The sequence below is a fragment of the Homo sapiens genome, chromosome 16 (assembly GCF_000001405.40).
Source record: "Homo sapiens chromosome 16, GRCh38.p14 Primary Assembly".
NCBI lineage: Eukaryota > Metazoa > Chordata > Mammalia > Primates > Hominidae > Homo > Homo sapiens.
Genome location: NC_000016.10, coordinates 27,764,957 through 27,786,043, shown reverse-complemented (window position 1 = coordinate 27,786,043; position 21,087 = coordinate 27,764,957). Strand labels below are relative to the sequence as shown.

The 21,087-nt window shown below is 55.6% G+C and overlaps 1 protein-coding gene across 18 annotated transcripts in view, besides 3 other annotated features; it reads right to left on the bottom strand.

Moving 5' to 3' along the window:
• The window catches only part of KATNIP (katanin interacting protein), a 230,201-nt gene continuing 214,813 nt past the window's right edge, over window positions 5,700–21,087 (bottom strand). For all 18 annotated transcript variants that reach the window (XM_005255201.4, XM_005255202.4, XM_011545775.3 and 15 more), the window contains 9 exons: window positions 19,570–19,735; window positions 16,026–16,183; window positions 14,392–14,456; window positions 12,835–12,945; window positions 10,960–11,099; window positions 9,015–9,116; window positions 8,274–8,434; window positions 8,075–8,163; window positions 5,700–7,470 (listed from right to left, as the gene is read on the bottom strand). In XM_005255201.4, coding sequence (XP_005255258.1) covers window positions 7,415–7,470; window positions 8,075–8,163; window positions 8,274–8,434; window positions 9,015–9,116; window positions 10,960–11,099; window positions 12,835–12,945; window positions 14,392–14,456; window positions 16,026–16,183; window positions 19,570–19,735 — 1,048 coding nt within the window. In that variant the 3' untranslated portion in view covers window positions 5,700–7,414. The remainder of the gene's footprint in view (window positions 7,471–8,074; window positions 8,164–8,273; window positions 8,435–9,014; window positions 9,117–10,959; window positions 11,100–12,834; window positions 12,946–14,391; window positions 14,457–16,025; window positions 16,184–19,569; window positions 19,736–21,087) is intronic.
• Window positions 11,069–11,569: an enhancer, noted in NCBI's record as "H3K4me1 hESC enhancer chr16:27785796-27786296 (GRCh37/hg19 assembly coordinates)". NCBI's record gives its function as "activates a minimal SCP1, AML or CMV promoter by ChIP-STARR-seq in naive H9 embryonic stem cells {active_cell/tissue: H9 hESC(naive)}" and the evidence as "EXISTENCE:reporter gene assay evidence [ECO:0000049][PMID:30033119]".
• Window positions 13,806–14,571: an enhancer, noted in NCBI's record as "H3K4me1 hESC enhancer chr16:27782794-27783559 (GRCh37/hg19 assembly coordinates)". NCBI's record gives its function as "activates a minimal SCP1, AML or CMV promoter by ChIP-STARR-seq in primed H9 embryonic stem cells {active_cell/tissue: H9 hESC(primed)}" and the evidence as "EXISTENCE:reporter gene assay evidence [ECO:0000049][PMID:30033119]".
• Window positions 15,408–16,607: an enhancer, noted in NCBI's record as "P300/CBP strongly-dependent group 1 enhancer chr16:27780758-27781957 (GRCh37/hg19 assembly coordinates)". NCBI's record gives its function as "activates an origin of replication core promoter dependent on BRD2, BRD4, P300/CBP, MED14 and CDK7 cofactors, with strong dependence on P300/CBP, by STARR-seq in HCT116 cells {active_cell/tissue: HCT116}" and the evidence as "EXISTENCE:reporter gene assay evidence [ECO:0000049][PMID:35650434]".

Genomic DNA, 21,087 nt, shown 5'->3' with positions numbered 1-21,087 from the left:
AATAAGCTGGGTGTGGTGGCTCACGCCTGTAATCCCAGCACTTTGGGAGGCCAAGGCAGGCAGATCACTTCAGGTCAAGGGTTCGAGACCAGCCTGGCCAACATGGTGAAACCCTGTCTCTACTAAAAATTCAAAAATGAACCGGGTGTGGTGGCGCACACCTATCATCCCAGCTACTCGGGAGGCTGAGGCAGGAGAATCTCTTGAACCCAGGAGGCAGAGGTTGCAGTGAGCCAAGAGATCAAGCCACTGCACTCCAGCCTGGACGACAGAGCAAGACTCCATCTCTCTCTCTCTCTCTCTTTCTTTCTCTCTCTCTCTCTCTCTCTCTCACACACACACACACACTCCTAAATAATAAAATAATCACTTTGTATAGTGAGAGGTGTTATGTAGGTGAACCAAGGAAAGATGTGATTTAGACCAGAGGATGAGGGAGGGCCTCTCGGAAGGACCATTGCAGCACAGAATGAAGGGAGAGAAAGGAGGCAGGAGGCACAGGGTAGGTGGGAGGAACCGTGGGTGCAAAGGCCCTGGGGTTGGAGGAGCACCGTGAGCGCCATGTGCAGCACTGCATGACAGGACAGAGTGCTTGGAGCTCGGGGCGAGGACATGGGGTCTGCTGGGGTCAGAGACTGTGGGGCTTTGGGGGTTGTGGCAAGGAGTTTGGCCGTCATCTTCATCCTGAAGGCCACAGGAGACACTGATTTAAAAGGCAGGGTTTTAAAAGGCAGACATGATGGGCTCTGCATTTTGGGAGGTTTCTTCTGGCTGTGTGTGGGGCAGGCCTGAGAAATGGGCGGCAGGGCAGAGGCAGGGTGACCAGAGGGGGCTGCAGCAGGGTCCTGCTGGGAGATGGCGGTGGCTTGGGGTGCGCTGGCCCCGGGAATGGAGGGAAGTGGGCGTCTGATCAGTGGCACCCATGGGGCTTGGAGATGAGTGACAGAGCTGGGCCAGGCTCCTGTCTGGGGCTTTGATGCTGTGCAGGCTGGGATGCTGCCGGCCAGATGAGGCCTTGGTGGAAATCAGGAAAAGCTGCTCTCTGAGTGGATGAATTAGAAAAGGGCCCCCTCCCTGCCCCCAAACATGGAAGACGTGGCCCCTGAGCCTCGCCCGGGAGCTGAGCTGTGGGGCACAGAGTGATTGTGCCCGCCCCAGGCCTGGCTGCCGTGGGATTGAGACAAATTCAGCCCAGCCTGGGACCATCAGTCATGAGGAAAAACCAGTCTCCTCCGTGTGGGGATTTACTGCATGGACAGACAGGAAATCGCTGTGCAGGGCCCCTGCCCTGTCCCCAGCACCGCCTGGCTCACGTCACCCTGGTAATTGCTCCTTGGGCCACATGTAGTCTTGGACTGACATTGAGCTTCTGCCTTAGGGAAGGCAAGGGGCCGGGCTGATGGCCACAGGCCTGGCAGGGGAGTGGGCAGCTGCCAGGAGTAGCGGGCACCCAGGGTAATGAGGGGTCCTGGGACTCCAGGGGGAGCGGGAGGGGCCTCTGCATGGGAGAAGCTCTGTGATGGGGCCAAGCTGGTGAGTGGGTGCAACATGCCCAGCCGGGTACACCCACTCTTACCCCTTCTTCCCGGCCCTCCTGAGAACTTCTAGGGCATGTGTGTTGGGGGTGGGAGGTGCAAGCAGGATGAACCCAGGGAGAGGAGGCAAGGGAGGAAGAATCCCAGGGGCCAATCAGGGGAGGGAAGGGAATGGATAGGGAAGGGGAAAGAGTTGGCGGAGGAGGGGCAGGGCATCGGGACATCGATCTCTGCTCAGCCAATGGGCTGGCTGCACTAAGGCCAGTGCCCTTCTTTGTGGACCAATCTGCCAAGGCTGGGATGGTGCCCTGGAAATTTGAGAGGGACCGGGTGCGAGGTAGTGCCACGTTGCTCTGGTGAAGACCCCAGACCCAGAAGTCACATCCCAGCCTCCGTCTGATGGTGGATGGAGTTGATGTGAGCACCAGTGGGCCTGGCGCCTGAGAGCTCTGCTCCATGACAGAGGTACTGCTGGTACCACTGCAGCCTGGGTAAGGAAGCCTAGGGCCCAGGGCGTAAGGTCACTCGCCAAGGTCGCACTGTCAGGAAGTGGTTGGTGGAGCCTAGACTGGAACCCTGGCAGCTGGCCCCAGGGTCACTGTGTGTGAGTCCTCACCAGCTTTCTGGGGAGAGTGGTGCCTGCAGCCCAGGTCTCACTGCAACTCACCACTGTGCGCCTTCAGGAGAAACCGCAGCGCATTCGCTCTCAGGATGAGGGCTTAGTGTGTATTGGCTGTTAGGATTTTTTTTTTTTTTTTTTTTTTTTTGAGATGGAGTCTCACTCTTGTTGCCTAGGCTGAAGTGCAGTGGTGCGATCCCGGCTCACTGCAACCTTCACCTCCCAAGTACAAGCGATTCTCCTGCCTCAGCCTCCTGAGTAGCTGGGATTACAGACGCCCACCACCATGCCTGGCTAATTTTTATATTTTTTTTAGTAGAAATGGAGTTTCACCATGTTGGCCAGGCTGGTCTCGAACTCCTGACCTCAAGTGATCCACCCGCCTCAGTCTCCCAAAGTGCTGGGATTACAGGCCTGAGCTGCCGTGCCTGGCCGCTGTTAGGAATTTTGTTGTCATCATCACAGCATATGGTTGTCAAAGGCTGCCCCTGTGGCAGAAGCTGTGAGTGGAGCAGTTTCCCAGAGAGGCTAGGAGACTGGAGTGCTGTCATAAATGCCACACTGCACACGGCAATCTGGGACATGCCCACACAGTCAGGGAGGCACCCCCAGAGCACCTGGGGACATATGCAACATACTGGATGGAGGCTGGCCACCTCTTGCTCTCCCCGGCCTCTGGCCCTCAGAGGCTCAAGTCTCAGGGCCCCAGAGAGCACTGCGCATGCCTGGGAGGCTGGGGTCTCATTGCGAGAGGTCCAGCCTTGCCAGCTCCACGCCCACTGGGCCCCGCAGCACTATCCCCACGTCCCCTCTTCTCCTCCACATTCCTTAACCTGCTTCTATCTCAGGGGTTGCAAACTCACACGCTGGCTGGGTGTGTGTGTGTATGGTCATGCGAGGGAGGACTGCAGGCAAGGGTGGGACAAGAGGGGCTGGCGGGGACCAGGACCATCTGGAGAGCACTGCTCAGGCTCTGGGGCCAGCTGGGAACGTGGGACCAGGTTGCCAGATCTTCCTGTCTTTCCAGAGAAGCAGGGAATCTGAATTTTAATGTGAAACCTGATAATAAAGGAAGGCAACTCATTTTAAAAAAATTAAGCATCGCCTAGTGAGTCCGCCAAACCCAAGAGGCTGGGCCACTGGATTGTGGACTGTGAAGAGGCCAGGTGGAGCCTGGGGGCCTTGGAAAGGGACTGTCCTGGCTCCAAGTGAGGCGGGAGGTGAGGCTGGGAGAGGGAACCCGGGCATCTCAGCACACGTGCCTCGCATGGGGCAGCTGCCACCTGCCTGGCTGCGAAGCCCCCCTTGGCAGGCTCTGGGGGGGTCCTTCTGGGTCCTTCTGGGGTGGCAGTGCCAGTGTTGGAACTTCCAGGGGGGTGGGAAGCAGGTCCTTCCCACTGCTGAACAGAGGAGGCAGGTCCCCAAGGGCTGGAGGCCTGTGGGAGCCTCCACTGGGAGCCCGTGCCGTAACCCTCTTGTCAGCTGCAGTGGAGGCCCATTTCCAGTCACCTATGCCAGGGAGCCAACGAGCCCTGACCCCTGACAGTGGCAGCCTGGGAGTCATTTATGTCTCTGTTTGTTGGGGCGCTGGGGGTCGGGGGGCGTTGCACAGAATAGGAAGCCTCAGCATGTGGAGGGAAAGGAGGACGTCTGTTTACCCACAACAGCTGAGTGTGGGGGCTGCCGCCTCCAGGACCCAGAGGTGTCACCTGATGGTCGTCCTGTCTCTGCCCATCTGGGGGCTGAGGAGTGGGAGTGACAGGCTAGGAAGGAGCCCTCTCTCCTTTTTCCTCCCTGGAGAGGGAAGAGGAGCTGGGAGATTCCAGCCTGGGACATTTCTTGAACCCCAGGCTGGAGGTGGGGCAGAAAGGGAGGCCCGCTGAGCAAGCAGGATTGGTGAACGGACCGGGGCCTGCCTGCGGACGGGTTTTATTCAATACTTGGCTCACTCAGTGTGTGTTTGCCTGTTTGTTGAAGTTGAGCCAACATTTAAAAGTTAGATTTCACATTAAAGATAAAAGAAACGCCTGGCTGTCTGGCTTCTCTTAGAAACCTTGAAGACCGAGCCGGGCGAGGTGGCTCACGCCTGTAATCCCAGCACTTTCGGAGGCTGAGGCGGGTGGATCACGAGGTCAGGAGATCAAGACCATCCTGGCTAACATGGTGAAACCCTGTCTCTACTAAAAATACAGAAAAATTAGCCGGGCGTGGTGGCGGGCGCCTGTAGTCCCAGCTACTTGGGAGAATGAGGCAGGAGAATGGCATGAACCTGGGAGGCAGAGCTTGCAGTGAGCCAAGATCACACCACTGTACTCCAGCCTAGGCGACAGAGCCAGAGCCAGACTCTGTCTCAATTAAAAAAAAAAAAAAAAAAAAAAAAAAAGAAACCTTGAAGACCGGATGTTGCTGGCCCCTTGGATCTGAGGTGTGGCTGACCCCTTCGAAGGGCCTGTGCCGCCGTGTCAACCACGGTCCTTGCAGGCCAGTGTTGACATCACTCCCTGACATCACTTGTCTGGCCCCTGAATAACAGGACTCCACCCCAGGGCTCTGGCAGGGGCTGGAGAGGCTCAGCAGAGCTGAGAGGCTGGGACACCCCTGCCGGCCTCCCACTCTCACAGAGGGAATGCTGGAAGGTCTGGGCTGCCCTCGAGGGTCTCCAGGGCTGGCCCAGAGATCCTTCCACCAAAAGGAGGGAGGGCGACTGCTTTCCAACACTAGCATGGCTGGGCACAGCCAGGCCCGTCTCTTAGGAAATCAGAGGGAACAGGGGGCATGGAGCAGGCCGGCCGGAGCCCCTGCTGTTTTCCCTCTATGCTTGGGGCTGGGCCTCTCCTGGCTGGACAGAGGGGGCTCTCTCCTCTGACCCACACAGTGAAGCAAAGTAGGGTTTCTAAAGGACTCTCCTACCTGCTGCCAGTGCTATTGCCGGTGCCTGAACTGCAGTGTGACCCTCCTCAACTGAGCCCTCTTTCCACTCAAGGGCTGCTTTATCCAGAAGCCACAAGCTGCCAACACTCACCCCTGGAGGCAGCAGGGGCATGGGGGTGGGCAGGGAGGAGGTCCAGGAACTGGGGGTCTGGGGGCCACCATTCCAGGATCCACACATGGTGAAGGGAAACCCCAGGGCCAAAGACCCAAGTGTTGTCACCCCCACCTCAACTCTCCAGGGGCCCTCTCAGGATTTGTGCATTGGCTAATAGCTTCCAAAGCTGTGTGTCCCAGGAAAGCTGCACAACCTCTCTGTGTCTCAGCTCCCTTATCTGTAAAGTGAGGATAATAATAGTGCCCACCCCAAAGGGTTGTGTTACGTGGATTAAACAAGTTAGAGCCAGGCATGTAATCACCACTCTCTATGGATGAGCTACTGTTGTCTGCTCATACGGCAGGACAATCTCATTGAGTAGTCAGGGCGAGATCATGACCCCATCTGCAGCTCAGTGAGGGCTTCTCTGTGTCACTCAGCTCCTGGAGGCAGCATGGACTCCCCATCTGACCCCAAATCCGGTGACTCGGACTATATTCTTAATAACATCTTTTATTAATTTTGCAAGAGGAAAAAAATAGAAATTTATTTTAGAGTTAAAGCTTGTACAGCCTTTTTTTCCCCTCCTAAATTGCACAGTACATACGATTATTATAAACATCAGCTGCGGTTCTGGGAGTGAGCTTGTGTCGTGTTAGTGCCATCTCCCTGACAAATCTGACCTGTACCCACATCTCAGCTGGGAAGGAGTAGCTGGGCCTCCCTTTAATGCAGCGGCACTGGTTTGGGTCACAAGAGCTGGTTTGATCAACCCCTGACTCCCCCTGGCGGGAGGTGCTCGTCACATCTGGGAGCTGAGCAGAGGTGCCGGGGGCTTGGAAGCTGGAGAAATGATGGATCTTTCTCCAGGAGAAACAATTCTTATCTTCACATCAGCCCCGTGCTCCAAATGAAAAGCGCGTTTGCATAGCTGCTCGAGCCCAGGCTGCTAAGCTCATGAAGTATTTGCCGGGGCTCTCGGTTGCATAGGAACGTACCTCGAGTACAGTACTGCGGCGGGCCGGGCTGGGCGCCAGAAAAACAACGGATTAATATTTGCAACGAGAAATTACCCACTACTGGGAAACCAATTAGGTCCCTGATCCGAGCTTGTTACATCGATGCATATAGATGCGTTCTGGGCTTCACTCGGCTGGGGGTGCAAGGCACATTTCCAACTCGCTGGGAAGTGGCTGAAGGGGGAGAAGGGGTGGGGGCCTGGGAAAGGAGCACCTCACTGCCTGCCTCCAAGGGCACAGGGGCAGAGACAGAAAGCAGCCACATCAGTGAGCACAGCCGTGATCAGACCAGGAGGGACATGTGGCAGAGAGTGCAGGGAGGGCCTGCTCAAGGGTGAGGGGAGATGGGGGATTGTCCTCAGTGTTCCCCAACACCTGCATCCAGAGGGCACTGGGGTGAGTTCTTCTGGCCCTCTGGGGTCTGGAGCTGCCAGCCTGCTGGCCACCCACCCACCCTTCCTGGCCCGGCAGCAGCACGCAGATGATACCCTGGCCTGCCAGAGTGGGCCCAGCTCTTGCCAAGGTGGATGGCGGGTGGCCCAGCTGACTTCCTTCCCTCTGCAGGATGCACACAGCCTTGGCCAATCCCTTATCAGGCCCGATGAGAGGAGAGAGGCCCCTATACCGGGATGAGAGAGGGTCTTGTGGACCCCTGTAACCAGGAAACTACCCCAACCTCTCAGCCAGCTCCACCAGTCCCCAAATGAGACAAGGATGCGCAGGGGATGGGGGGTGTTGGCCGCTGAAGCTCAGGTTTCTGAAGGCAGTCTCCCTGGGCAGTGCCCTGCTTACTGGAGTTGCGGGGTAGGGTCTGGTCTCCCACTGTCCTGCTCAGCCATTCTCTGGGCCCTCTGAGGCTGGATGGGATGCCTCCCCACCCCGTCATTGTCCTGTTCTGAGTCAGGGTCAGCCCAGGCCCTAGTGGTCATGGGCCCTGCTTTGCTGGGTCTCACAGCAGAGGCATGAAGGCGGGTGTCCTGGGCTCCCTGTGGCCAACCCAGAACTGCAGGGGATCTCTTTGCCCTGCAGCCACAGCCATCTGTCACTCTGGTAGTATCCAGGGCTGTCCTCCCGAGTCCCCTCTTCCCAGCGGGCTCCCCTCAACACTGTGGTTCGCTTCCAGCTCCTGGGACTGAGGGTGAGGGACGCAGGCACTGAGTGGGGCTGCTGACGGAGCCCACCATAGTGGGAGGACCAGCTCTCCCTCCTTCACCAGTCAGCAGCGCCGTCGTCTCGTCTCCTTCTCGCTGATGCAGGTTTTGGGACGTAAGGCTGTCATGACAGGGAACAGAGGGACCAGAGTTACTAAGTCTCAAACCCTGGAGGGGTGCCCCACACTCCCCAGTGAAATCCAGCAGCCTGGGTTGCCATTCAAGGCCCTTGGAAAAGTCCCTGCTCTCGGGGCGCCTGGCACGCTGGCCCCTTCCCTCCGCCTGGAGCAGGCTCTGCCACAACACCCCTCTCAGCCTTTGCCCAGGCTGCCTGGCACACTCCTCACATCCTTTAGGATCCAGCTCAAACATCACCTCCTCCGGGAAGCCCTCACCTTGGGCATCCTCTATTGGTTTCCCACGGCCCGGGGCAAACCCCTTTAACATGGTGCTCTGTCCCTGACTGCTTCCCCACTCTGTGCCCACGACACTTAGATTCAGGAAGCTCCACTGTGTTACAGGTGCCTGCAAGAAGATGGAAGCATGTTGCTCCCCTGGTTCCATCCTCTTCAGTCCCTCCCTAGGCCTTTGGGCAGGCTCCTGGGCAGAGGAGAGCGGTCTAGGGGCAGGCAGGGGTGAGGGTGGGGGTGCAAGGCCACCAGCTCCTTCTATATTCAGACCGAGCTCCCAAGGCACAATGCTCTGGGCAGAGAAACGCCACTGACCTGGGTCAACAACGCTCTGCTTCCGTTTCGCGTTGGTAATGATTTGGTTTTCATTCATCATCTGGACATCTTGATCCTCGGCCTGATTACTGAGGGTAGGAAGGAAACACAAGATTCGATCAGGCTCCTGGCCGTGTGTCCCAGCCATCCATCCTCCTTAGGGCTGGTGGGGAGGCCATGGGGCCGGCTGGGGCCCTACCTGATGGTGGTGTGTTTCTCCTGGTGGCGGATGTCCCTGTCCTCGGTGAAGAGGATGGTGTGGTAGGGCACGGTGGGCTCACATGTGGGCAGGATGCCCCCCACCAGGTGGCTCACCATGGCCAGGATCCCATTGTACACAAGCAGGTCGTCCACCAGGAGCTGCAGGGACACGGGGCAGGACTCATGGGTCCCCCTCGTCCCTCCCACGTTGACCTTGGGCAGAACGCGTTACTGCTCTGAGCCAAGGCTTTCTCCTCGGGAAGACGGGGCTGTCAGGAACAAGCGCCTACTGTGTGCTGTGTCTGCCTTGTGATTTCAGATCTTCACAACCATTGGGAAAGGCAGGAGCTATCAGCATGCATTGCAGATGAGGAAATTGAGGCCCGAGGGGCTTTAATACCATTAGCACAAGTGGCAGAGCTGGAGGCAAACTTGGGTCTCTGGTATCCAGGGTCCCTGTTTTCCCCATCCCAGGGTCACCGCCCCAAACCAGTGGGATTCTAGAGGAAAAGACGAAAGAAAACCCACTTTCTATTTGCTCAGGGTGACACTGAAATCACTGCCAGCAGGTTCTGAATTCATGGTTGGGTGGGAAATTCGCCTGCATCTGACGACCAGGCATTTGTGTTGAGGGTTGCAACAGAGAGAAGTAAATCAAACTGCGACAAATGATAATTGCCGGCGGCCTAATTACCAACGAGCATAATTATCTCAAAAAACTCAGCTAATAAGTACTTACGCCAAACTCCTTCACCCCTCGATGGGGTGTTTTCGCATAATTCCACAGTTTGATCATTGACACGGTGGTAGGCAGATCGAAAATCACATAAACCCGGTTCACCTGTCAGAGAGCGGCACTAATTAAAACAGGCATGTTTGGAAACAGAGGCGCTTGGCTGGGCTGGGGGTGCCAGGCGTGGGCTGGGGTGAGCGGTGGTGCCCAAGGCAGCGCCTGCCACGTGGGCCAGCCTGGAGTTCCGCCCCCTTTCATCTCCTCGAAGCCCATCTTGAGTCAGGTCACGTGTGGCTGCATTTGCAACAAACCGCTGAGCTGGCTTTTGGAGGGCCTGTGTTCTTGGGCCTGTCGGAGCCCTCATTTAAATGCCAGTGGAGGATTGGGAACATCCTCGGCCCTCCCCCACGTCCCCTCAGGTCAGGCCCAGAAATAGTCTAGAGCCCCATGAGCTAAAGGGACAGTCCCCAACTCGGGTTGAGCACCAGCCATGGTGATCAGCATCTGACCCTGTCTGTCCTTTCCCCAAACCATCACTGAGAAGCAACGCCAAGGTGCTGCTGGACAATGTCCAGGGCGTGTCTGTGAACCTCCGCTGGGGGAGTAAAAAGGGGGCTGTCTAGATCGGGGCAGAATCCAGTGGGAAAAGTGGGACGGAGCAGCCTCAAACAGCCCTCCCTCTCCCCACCCCCAACCAAAGCTCTCAGATATTAGGGGAGGCCCTCCCTTGCAAGACAGAATCAAGAAATAAGCATTCCACACTGGCCACAGACTGCAGGCTCAGTCCTGCCCCAGGCCCTGGTCCCCAGCCTGTGACCATCCTCAGAATATGCCAAGAGGGAGTGCGGCTGCTCGGGTAGGGCCAGCCTCCTGGCTGGACCATGGAAACAATAAAGGTCAGGGTGAGGGTCTCCAAACTCAGTTGCCTGTGAGGCTCAAGCAGATACAGATGTTGGAGTCCAGCCGCGAGAGCAACAGCTGAAGTCGCCGCACCCCAAAAGGCCTTCCAGTGCTAGACAATGGAAAATACCCGCTGGCCGTCAGTGGGTGGCCTGAGTCTCAGGGAGGACAGAGCTCTGTTGCCCCCTCTGCAATGGGGCAGGGGAAGCTGAGGACGCTCAATAGGGGGGGTCTAATTTTAGGGTGGCCTTTGGAAAACTTCCGTCATAGAATTGCTGATGCTGTACCTTCCTGTGTTTTCAGAGAAAAAGGTGCCCCCGATCCCCCACTCAGTCCCATGGCATGGACAAGGGACACATCCCTAGTCATATGGCTGCCAAGAACCCGCTGTGCATCTCTACCAGGCACCTGGCCCTGGGCTGAGAGGCTGCAGGGGGGCTGACCACCCCGTCCATGCCCTCTCCCCTTCCTCTCCACCACAACCAACCACGTCTTCTCACCATGAGGCCTCAGAGCTAAAAGCTAAGCAGGACCCAGTGCAAGATTTGAGATCTGGGAAACTGAGTCAGTTGGTCGGAAGAGCTGACCAGGCCAATTTAGGGCCAGAAGGAGGGCAGGGCGGCCGTACTGGGGTCATCTACCTGGTGATGTAGGAAGGGGCAGAAACCGTGAGTGTGCGGAGAGCTGGGTGGGGAGGAAGAGGGCACAGTGGCTGCAAAGCCAGGCAGAGCAGAGAACCAGAGAGGGCTGCCTGCAGGGACCCAGGACGCCCAAGCCCTCAGGCAGTTGTGCTGGGGTTCCTGGCTTCAGATTCCCATGGGACCCCTTTCGCCCCAGGTGTCCACTTATAAAAGAGAAAGAACTGCTGGCCTGGAAGAGCTGACCCCATCAGGCAAGTTAGCAAAGACCTAAACCTTTCTGACAGCTCCCAAGCATCTTGGCTTGAGATTAACTTGACCTGGAAGAAAGACGTGTCACTGAGACCAGGGAAAGAAAGTCCCCCTGCCCGCCTGAGGGCCAGGAGCTGCGGTGGCCGCTGCCGGGAACCCACCAGGCCCGGCAGGATGGGAGCCAGCCACATGTGCCGGCCATCACTGGTGTCGTTCACTTGGTCGATGAGCTTGTCTGGGGTGCGGACGTCCCCGCCCACACCCTCCAGGGAGTTCACGCTGTCGGGGAAGGCCGCAATATCTGAGGAGACGTCTAAGTTGCCATAACCCAAATCTGTGTGCTCGGGGCTGCCAGCCACCCTCAGGCTGATGGCGTGGCTCGGGGGACTCTGGGGCTGGCAGGGCTGATGCTTTGGGCAGCCGCAGCAGTGACAGCTGAATTGGACGTGTCCTGGGGAAACGGGGAGTGCCGGGCCCAAGGGGAGCAGGTGTGTCTGGAGAGGTGGTCAGTTTCAAGTAGAGAGAGAAGGAAACCACACAGAAGGCCAGCTGAAAAAGAGACGTTGCAGGGAACTGCCAGAGCTGGGGACGTAAAATGTTGCTGCTGCTTGAGAGGGTGGAGGGCAAGCTCTGCGGAGGTTTTCTTTTGGAAGGGAATGGGGCGGTGGCTGGATTCTACCCTGGCATGTGAGTATCATGCCGAGCCTCTCTTCCTGGTCAGTGTGGAAGGACCTCGGAGCAGCTGGACCCAGCTAATGTGATCTGCAGAACCCAGCTTCTAGCTCTGCCTCTGCCATTATGACCTGTGAGGGCGTGGGCAAGTCACAGGTCAACCCTGGGCCTGTTTTCCCATCTGTAAAATGGGTATAAAAACCTCCAGCTCCCAGGATGGATGTGAGGATCTCAGAGTGCACCAGATGTGAGCACTTTGGTAAAATCAATGAAACTTTATAGCTTCGAGGAGTCGCTAATAATGATCTAAAACATCAAGAATCATTCATCCCAGCTGAGGAGGGTGGTGGCACCAGGGGAAGGCAGAAAAGGATCCAACTGGAAGCCAGGGACCCCAAACAGATGCAAGGCAGGCTTTGGGGTTCGACTTGCCCTGGTATTTCCCTAACTGTGGTGGGCCAGGGATCACAGATTCAAGATCCGAGGGGGCCAGGCAGGTTACATGAAAGAGGCAGGATAGCCTACTGCTTGGTCAAGAGCTGGTGTCTGGACACTCACTGGCTGTGTGACATTAGGCAAGTTACTCAATCTCTCTGTGTCTCAGGCTCCTCATCTGTAAAATGGGGATAACAGCAGCAATCACCTCACAAGATTGTTGTGAGGGCAGATGAGGTAGCACAGAGTGAGCCCTGAGAAAATATTAGCAGTGAGTTTCGGGGCCTGGTAGATAACAATGGGAGGAGTGGGGGGCTAAGGTAGACCAGAAGGATATGCTTGGGGAGAAATGGCAACAGATAACCAGGTCCAGCCATTGTCACTATGCATAATCAAGGGCCTGTGTTGCCAATTTCTCAGGGGAAACCAGAGATCAGGGTTTTCATGTGAAACCTCGTGATTTCTAAAAATATTAGCAACTCATTTTAAAATGCACTGGGCTAACAGTCTGCAAATTCTGGTGTGGGCATACTATGCACAAAGGGTTCCATACTTAAGAAATTCAGGACACACTGAGTTGAACACAGTGCAACAGGCTTCTCCCTGCAGACCTTGTCAGAGCCTTTGGAACTCCAAAGTATCTGTGGTTCTCCGAGAAGGGGGCGCTATAGTTGGCAGCCTCTCTCAATTCACTGGACCACAGGACTCTGGTTTGTGGAATTCCTGCTCCTGATGTCTTAGCAGGCAGGGCTGGGAGCTGCTCTCTGCTGCCCGTCCCCAAGGGTCAGCATCTGACTATAAGCAAAGCCCCCTGGGCTCTGGTTCCTAGAGGGCCATTTCCCTCTGCACACAAGGCTTCTGCCCCGTTCCCGACCCTCCCATGCTCCCTTCAGTCTGGGTGGAGCCCACTCCTGTCCTACAAAGGATACTGTTTTCCGACAAGGGGATTTTTTCTCCTCGCTCGTCATACAGCTCCAGGCCGGTGAGGCCGATGTAGTAGGGGTCGCCCCAGCTGGTGAGAAGCTGAAACTGGAAAATGACTGGGACACTTTATTAAGGAAAAGAAGGCTTAATTTTTTTTTTTCAGAATATAGTAAAACAATGGCAAAGATAAGAGGAATTGTTTTGGGTTTATGTTGATGAATGAGAGAAAAACATTTTTCTCTTATTGCAACTAGAGCCTATCAAAATATAGGTAGCATCACATTTTCTTAAATTGCATGTGTGTGCATGTGTGTGTGTGTGTGCATGTGAGTGTTCATGTGTGTGTATGCATGCATGTGTGCACGTGTGCGTGTGCCCGTGTGTGTGTGTATTAGGAATTCAAAGCCTTCCTCTAGGCCCCAGGAGACAGGACGGGAGGAGAGGGTGCTCTCCAGGGAGCAGGCAGGATGGGGAAACATCTGTGTCACAAACTGATTGTATGGTATTGAACAAAATGCTCCAGTTTCCCTGGTTGTGAAATGACAAGAACAGAGTACCTGCAACCTCCTCCATCCCTTTCAAGTAAACAGGAGGCTAAGAAGGGGACACATAAACCTCACAGCGCCAGGGGCCATGGGCCGGGGCAAGGAGACCACCATTGCTGCTGAAGTCCCACGTGCAGAGCTGGGCATCAAGCCTTTCCTCAGCCCTGTGCTCTGCTCACTCCCCGCACTCCCAGGAGCAGGCCGGGTGGCTCTCAGATGATGGCATAGCCAGAGACAGTGCTTCCAGAACTGGCTGGCTAGAGAGCGGGCCTTAGAGCCAGGCTGCCTGGGTTCACCTCCCCTGGGCCCTACCCCTTCCCACCTGTGCAGCCTTGGGCAAATTACTGAGCCTCTCTGTGCCTCAGTTTTCCTAGCTGTGAAATGGGAATGATAGTAGTACCAGAGTGCTGGGCTCTGCTGCCTGGGCTAAAGTACAGTGGTGCAATCAGAGCTCACTGCAGCCTCGAACTCCTGGGCTCAAAAGGTCCTCCCACCTCAGCCTCCAAGTAGCTTGGACTATGGGCATGTACCACCAGCTAATTTATTTATTTTTTTTTAAGATATGGAGTCTCATTATGTTGCCCAGGCTAGTCTCAAACTCCTGGCCCCAAGCAATCCAACCTCCTTGGTCTCCTAAAGCGCTGGGATTACAGGTGTGAGCTATTGTGCCTGGATTGCCAAGTTATTTCTATCTTCACCTCCTCCCTGGCTGGTTCCAGGACACCCCCCTTCCCCAGTCCAGCCACTGGGGTCAGTGCCAGCTTCTCTAGCCCCTCCCAGCTGGAGTCCTGGGTGCTGCCCCCTCCAGCCTCAGCAGGAACTAGCCTGGCTGCCCCAGTTCCAGCAGCTCCTAGTGGCCCTGAGGACCCAGGAGGCCTCCTATCCTCTGCCTTGGTTTCCTTGCATGGAGTTCCAGCTGCCTCATCTGTGGCCGCCTGAAACCCTGGCTGGGCAGTTGCGGCCCAGGCGCTGCCTCGGGGCCCAGAATGTGCTGGTGGGGCGGGAGGAGAAGGATACAGCCACAGGGCATCAGCGGTGCCTCGTAGTCCATGCTTGCACACTCCAGGCTTCTCATGTCCAGCCTGAAAAAGCACAAAACAGCACCATGAAGAAGCTCACGACGGCCCAGAATCACCAGCCAGTTACCCCCTAGGTAACAGCCTTTGAAGAAACATGGCAGTTTAGCGTTCCCTAGGATGCAGCAGGGAAAAGAGAGATGAGGCCCCTGCTCGTGTGGAGTTCCCGCTCTAGATGACAGTCATTGCCAATGCTGGCAGGATGCTGTGCCAGGGAGGCACGGGGCTCAGGGCTTTCCTGAAATGGACTCTTTTATTCCTCAACACAACCCTAGGAGGTGGGTATTTTTAGATGCTTGGGATGTGGATGAGGAAACTGGAACACGGAGAAGTGAGGTCACTTGCTCAAGGCCATGCAGCTGGTAGTGGCAGAACCGGGATGGGACGTGAGGTTGCCTGGTACCACTGCCCCCTTTCTTAACCAACCCCCTCTATGTCTTTAAACACAAGGAGGGTCCACGCTGTGCCGACAGCCAGGACGGGGTGACAGGGCAGAGGGACTGGGTGGGGCAGGCTGCCTCAGGGAGTGCTCTGGGAAGGCCTCCAGGAGGAGGCAGCCTTGGGAAGTGCCAGAGCTGAACCTTCCACGCAGAGGAGCAGCAGAGCAAAGGCCCAAGGTGGGAAGTCACTGGGCTGCTGGTGTTTGCCCCAGAAAGCGGCCAGAGGGCTGGAGTCTGGGGCAGGATGGGGAGAGGGAAGTGAGAGGAGGCTGGAAGGCAGGCACAGCCCTGATGGCTTTGGCTTCATGATCTTCAGCACCTGGCTCCACCAGCCAGAGCCTCAGTTCCCACATCTGTAAAACGGGCATCATACTGGCTAGGTCAAAGGGTGGCTGGAAGGATTTCCCAAAGGACACATCAAAGTGTTCACACAGCTGGCCCTCGGGAAGGATCCTCTCCTCCACGGCCCTCCTGACGGGGCCCCTCTCCCTGGTCCGCTGTCAGTGCCCTCCAGCCCTAGCCTGGTTCTCTTCCATTTCAAGGGCAATGTTACAATTAAATGACTTCCTAGTGACCAGCCCAGCCAGCCAACCCCGCTACAGTGCAGGGAAACTCATTTTGTTTCAAGAGCTTGGCCTCTGGCGTTTGGACATCAGGGGGTTTCAATGAGTAAACTTAACGTGGCATTTACAAATCGTTATGAACTTAATGCAGCTGAGACTGGGGCCGAGAAATCCCAGTGAATCCATGAAATATTAAGCTCTATTTTTCTCCTTGAATCTTTCTAAATCAGGAACACAGAAACGGGAGAAGGAAGGCCCTTCCCCAAACTGGCCGGCAGGCATTTCTGGAATGGAGGCAGGCTGTAGCCTCTTTTCTCAGCAGGAAACGCAATGAAGCATTTAAAATCTTCAGCACTCCAGACTGTGAAAAACCCAAATGTCCCCAGACAAGGTAAGTCCATTCCACAGGCTTCCGGTGAGGCTTGGCTGAGCTTTAGAAAATGACTAAGTTGAAAAGCAATGCGTTTGATCATCGTTTCAAAACCCTTTCGGAATGTACATCAGAGCAACTTGCAAAGCAAGCGGGCCCAGGGGCCGGGAGGGGCTGTGTGTGGCGCCCACTTTCTCCTCACCTCCTGGCCGGCTGGGGCAGCAGCTGAGCCCGTAGGTAGTCCACGAAGAGGATTTCTTGAGCAAAATCAAAGTGGCAGTTGCCTGGCCCCTTCCGGATGAGAAAGCCCTCTGGCGGGGAGACGCACAGGCCATCCAGGGAGACGTGGACAATCTTGGCCTGGCAAACAAAAGAAATAACATGACTGAAGGGAGGCAGGCCATGTGGGGACAGAAGCGGTGCTGACGTGACCGGAGCTGCTGGCAGCTGTGCTCACCATGGGGAGCCTTTCGCAGAGCCACCTGACCGAGGTCCATTTCCCATATCAGGTGCTGTGTGGGCGCTGGGCAGGTAGCAGAGGACAAGACAGGCGAGCCCCCTGCTACAGCGGACACTGGTCCACGGCTTTCAGGGGTGGCACGTGACTTGGCCAAGGCCTCGCCCACCTCAACAGCTGCAGCGGCCTGGGGCGGCATGAGATGGAGGTCAAGGGCATGGACTCAGGCGCTTCCATGTGCACCACTAGTAGCTGTGTATGTTACCTACCTTCCCTATGCCTCAATTTCCTCATCTGTTAAATGGGCACGGTCATGAGTTAACCTACGTAAAGTGCCCTAAACAGAGCCTGGCACAAACTGTATACTTCGTGAATGTTAGCCTCTATCACTCCTTTTTCAACCCCTGGCTCACACATCAATACCCCTCTGGGAGCTCTCCCTTAGGACAGGACAGGCCTCTTTCTGATCTTCCTTCTCATGGCACTGAGCTCATCCTTTTTGGGCCTGTATGCCTAGCAGCATCCCAGTGGCTTCTGGGTCTCTCTTATGGCAGAGGTTCTGGCTGGACCACCTCTCTGTCTGCCTCAGGGCCTGGAACACAGCAGATGCTTTCTAAGAGCTTGCAGGATTCACGTGGATTTGAGCCAACATCTCTCCCTGTTCTAGCCAGAGTTCTCCAGCCAGATGGCCAGGTTCTACTGGTCAGTTTCAAAGTCCTAATGGTAGAGTCTGAGGCGGCCCAGCCACCACCTGCTCTATGGGCAGGGAGGGGCAACAGCCATCACTCTCTGATTTCAGATTTTGGAGCCTGGTTCTCCTCGACACCTTAGCCCACATTCGTGGTCAGCAACATGGGTGCAGCTGTTGATCCAACTGGTGCCTTTCCTCTAGGGAGAGGCAGAGGCGCTCCTCCTGCAGAAAGGAAGGGAGGAAGGGTCCCTGACCTGGCTCTCATGTGCCCCTGGGGCCCCTCGTTCCTTCAGCATTTTGGGAGCCCCTCTATGTCAGTTACAGGACAAGTAAACCTGAAGTGTGGTGCTACCTGGCTTCGGGCGTGGCTGTCACTAGAACTTGGTCCCTGTCCTCCATCTCTCCATCTGCTTTCCTCAAGGGGGATTCCTACCTGGGCCCCCTGAGCTGAACTTGAAACATGGCCGGGCCCATCAGCATGACTCCTGGGGTTTTGCTGGCTTGCCTGGAAAGGGGAGCTTTCTCTTCTGCTGGGCTTGGAGCTAGCAGGACATAAGCCTGGAGCTGCCAGAGTGTGCCCTGGACAGAGTCGCCCAAAAGTAGATTCAGTGATGGCAAAGCAGAGGCCCAGGAAGCCCCTGTCCATCCTCCAGGGCCAACACCTCCTCCAGGAAGCATCCCTGACTTCCCTGGGCAGAGCTGGCCACATGTCCTCTGCTCATTCCCTTCGAGGTGACCTCTATCACCACCTCCATCTTATAGGGAAGGAAGCTAAACTTCACAGGGACTAAGTGATTTGCCCGAGGGCCACTGAAGGGATTTGAAGCCCCAAGTCCAGGAGTCCAGGGCCCTGGCTTCCAACCACATGTCAGGGACCCCTGGTGCTCGGGAAGGCCTTTTGGGGTGTGGGATCTGAGTCAAAGCACCCATTTCACTGCAGTGGGGGTCTCCCATCTCAGGCCACGTGCCCATTCCCCCCCACCCCCACCTCATCCCACTGTAGCCATTGTCTGGCTGGTGGGGCCCAGACCTGTGAGATGGGAACTCAGCCCAACATCCCCAGATGGTGAATTCAGGTCACAGAAGCTCTACCAGACAGACTGTGATTTGCTCAAGGGAATTTTAAGGCCCAAAGGCACAACTTGAGGCAGAAGGCTGTTTTTTAATGTCAATATATCTGACTTCTTCAATGTGTTGAACCCAGGGGAGCGTTCATAGAGACACAGGGCGGCATTGGGAGGGTCTGTGACCGGCCTGCTCAGAGGAGCATGCTGGCTAAGCTCCTGCTACACGGGGAGGGCCAGGGGCTGCCGATCCTGCTGTAAGATGTGACACAATTCTTTTTTTCATTTTTCTTTCTTTGAGATGGTGTCTTGCTCTGTCACCCAGGCTAGAGTGCAATGATGAGATCATAGCTCACTGCAGCCTCAACCTGGGCTCAAGAGATCCTCCTGCCTTAGCCTCCTGAATGGCTGGGACTACAGGTGTGTGCCACTAAGCCTGCCTATTTTTTTGGTAGAGATGGGGGTCTCTCTGTATTGCCCAGGCTGGTCTAGAACTCCTGGGCTCAAGCCATCCTCCAACTTTAGCCTCCCAAAGTACTGGGATTACAGGCGTGAGCCTCTACACCTGGTCTGTGATACAATTCCTAAGGCCCTAGAATAAATTCCATGGTGGGTATATGGTGGGGAGCCCAGATCTGGGGATCACCTGAGGCTGAGTCCTGGCTTTGTCAACTGTTACCTGGCAACGGTGATGCCAATCCGCCGTGGCAGGTGTTATTCCCTCCTCATTTTATAGATGAGGAGACAGGCCCAGGGAAGGCAGGCCACGTGCCAGAGGTTACGCAGCTGGTTGGGTCCAAGCTGAGACTCAGACTCAGGCCCTCCTGATAGTAGGGCCCTAGCTGAATTGCTACCTTTCGGTGGCCTCATTGTCACTTTTACATGACTGGAGGGCACCCATTCAGTCACCTGAGGCCAGAAAAGCCAGAGAAAAGGGCTCTTCCGAGGCTCTCTTCTTCATTCCCACCGAGGCTGAGTCTCAGAAGCGCCCCCCTGCTGCTTCTCACTCAGCAAAACATCACACGGAAATCACAATGTGGGCTCCAGGTCTGGCTGGCCAAGGTGGAGACTCCAGCTGTGTGGCCTTGGATGGGCAAGTGAACCTTCCTGGACCTCAGTTTTAGACCCTAAGAAATGGGGGTAATCACACCCACCTCCCATTGGCTGGAATGAGAATCCAGTGAAACAATGAATGCCCGTGAAGCCCTCAGCAGAGGCCTGGCCACCCGAGCACTCAAGGGACTTGAGGGACAAAACTGACCATGGCAAGCTGGGGCCTGGACCTGCCTAGGACCCCCCAGCACCAGGAGAAACGGTGCTGTGCAGTTCCCTGGAAATGCCCTGCGCTCTTTAGCCTGCATTTGCCATTTGCAGAAGGAAACAGCAGCTCTCTCTCTCCCTGGACATAACGCCCCCAGCTCCGTTTGGAAAATTCTGGAGGATTTATGCTCCTCTCTGGCTGCCACGCCAGCCATTCATCAAGGTGCTGCTTCCCTGATGCTGGACTGAGCACGGCCACTGCTCCCCAGCTTACCCCGCGATAGGTGTCCTCGGGAGATTTATTGTAGTTCCAGAAGCGCAGGCCTGCGATGCTTTCGGCCCTGTCCAGGCGGATCGTGACCACATGGTCCAGCCCCGGCGAGAAGGGGATCAGCCACATATGCTCATCCTCCATGGTGATGTTGGTGCCATCAATTAACCTGCAGCAATGGGGACGGAGCGGCAGGGGGGCGGCTCAGTGGGCACAGGAGGCATCACAGTGGGGCCCCCACCCCCTCGGCCCCAAGTACGTCCCCACTGCCTGGCACTAGCCTGGCTGTGTCAGGCTTGTTAAGGGGAGGTGTGACTGCTGAGAACAACAGTCAGAAGTCGTCTCTCATCTATGAAATGAGACATTTTTTAAAAGAAAAAAAAAAGGCTATGCTGTTAAAGGTGCAGAAAAGCAATCATCAGGGTTTTTGTTTTTTTTTTAAAAGGGAAAATGAACCATTTTTCAGAATCCTTTAGCCCAGTGATCCCATTTCTGGGATTTTCTTCCCCAGAAGGAAAATGTATTCAATATATGGGAAAGGCTATCCGAACCAAGATGCTCATTACAGTGTTATTTACAATAGCTTAAAAAAGGATAACAACCTAAAAGATCTCAAAATCAGGAAATGGTTAAGTAAATTTCACAGGGGTTAAGGTGCCATCATGAGGACACTGCAGTCACATGGAGGAGGCAGGACACTGATTATAAAGCTGAGAAATGAGGACAAGGACCAGGAGAGAGTGTGCAAAAGTGAAAAACATAATTGGGTCAGAGGGTATGGAGGTGAGTATTTTTCTCAAGTTTCCAAACTTTCTGTAAATTTGCTGTGTTGGCTTTACAGCATAGTTGGAAAGAAGTGTAGCCCTTCCTTCCCATGCTGGGGGAGAGAGGTACAAAAGCACCAGGTGAGCTCTGCAGCTCTTGGCTTGGAACAAGTAGAAGGAGGGGCAGGTGACTGTGGGAGCTGCTCTGGCTGGACCATGCTCTGTGACCGCATGGCCTGGATATCCCAGGGAAGCCTCTAACCTGTAGGAGGGAGCCCCTCATGCTCTTCCCAGCTGGCACTCTGAGCTTGTCACCTCAGCCCTATCGCACTCCTGTCCTGGCCAGTTTCTGGTTCCCTTGCTTGGGACATCCTGTTCATCCTCAAGTGGGCCTGTGTTTGTCCCAAGGACAATCGTGCCTCTCGCTTCCCCGGACTGCCCAGCATGCCTCAGCCCAGGCCTCAGGCCCTTGTCCTCGTGGCTCTGGCCCACGTGTCTGGCACTGCCATTCAGAAGCCTGGTCCTGGAAAAAAGGGCCCAGCTGGCAGCCTTTTGAGCAACCTCCCTCTCCCTCCCATTTTCTAGAACCTTCCCCACTCCACACCCTGGATTCCTGGTACCTCACAGCTGCTGTACTGGGAGAAACTTGGCCTGCTGCCACATTTCCTAGATTTGAAAAGAAACTTTTTGTTTCCTTTTACATTTTAAAGTTGTGAATTTGGAAAAAAAAAAAATCTCATAATCGAAGTGTTTACCC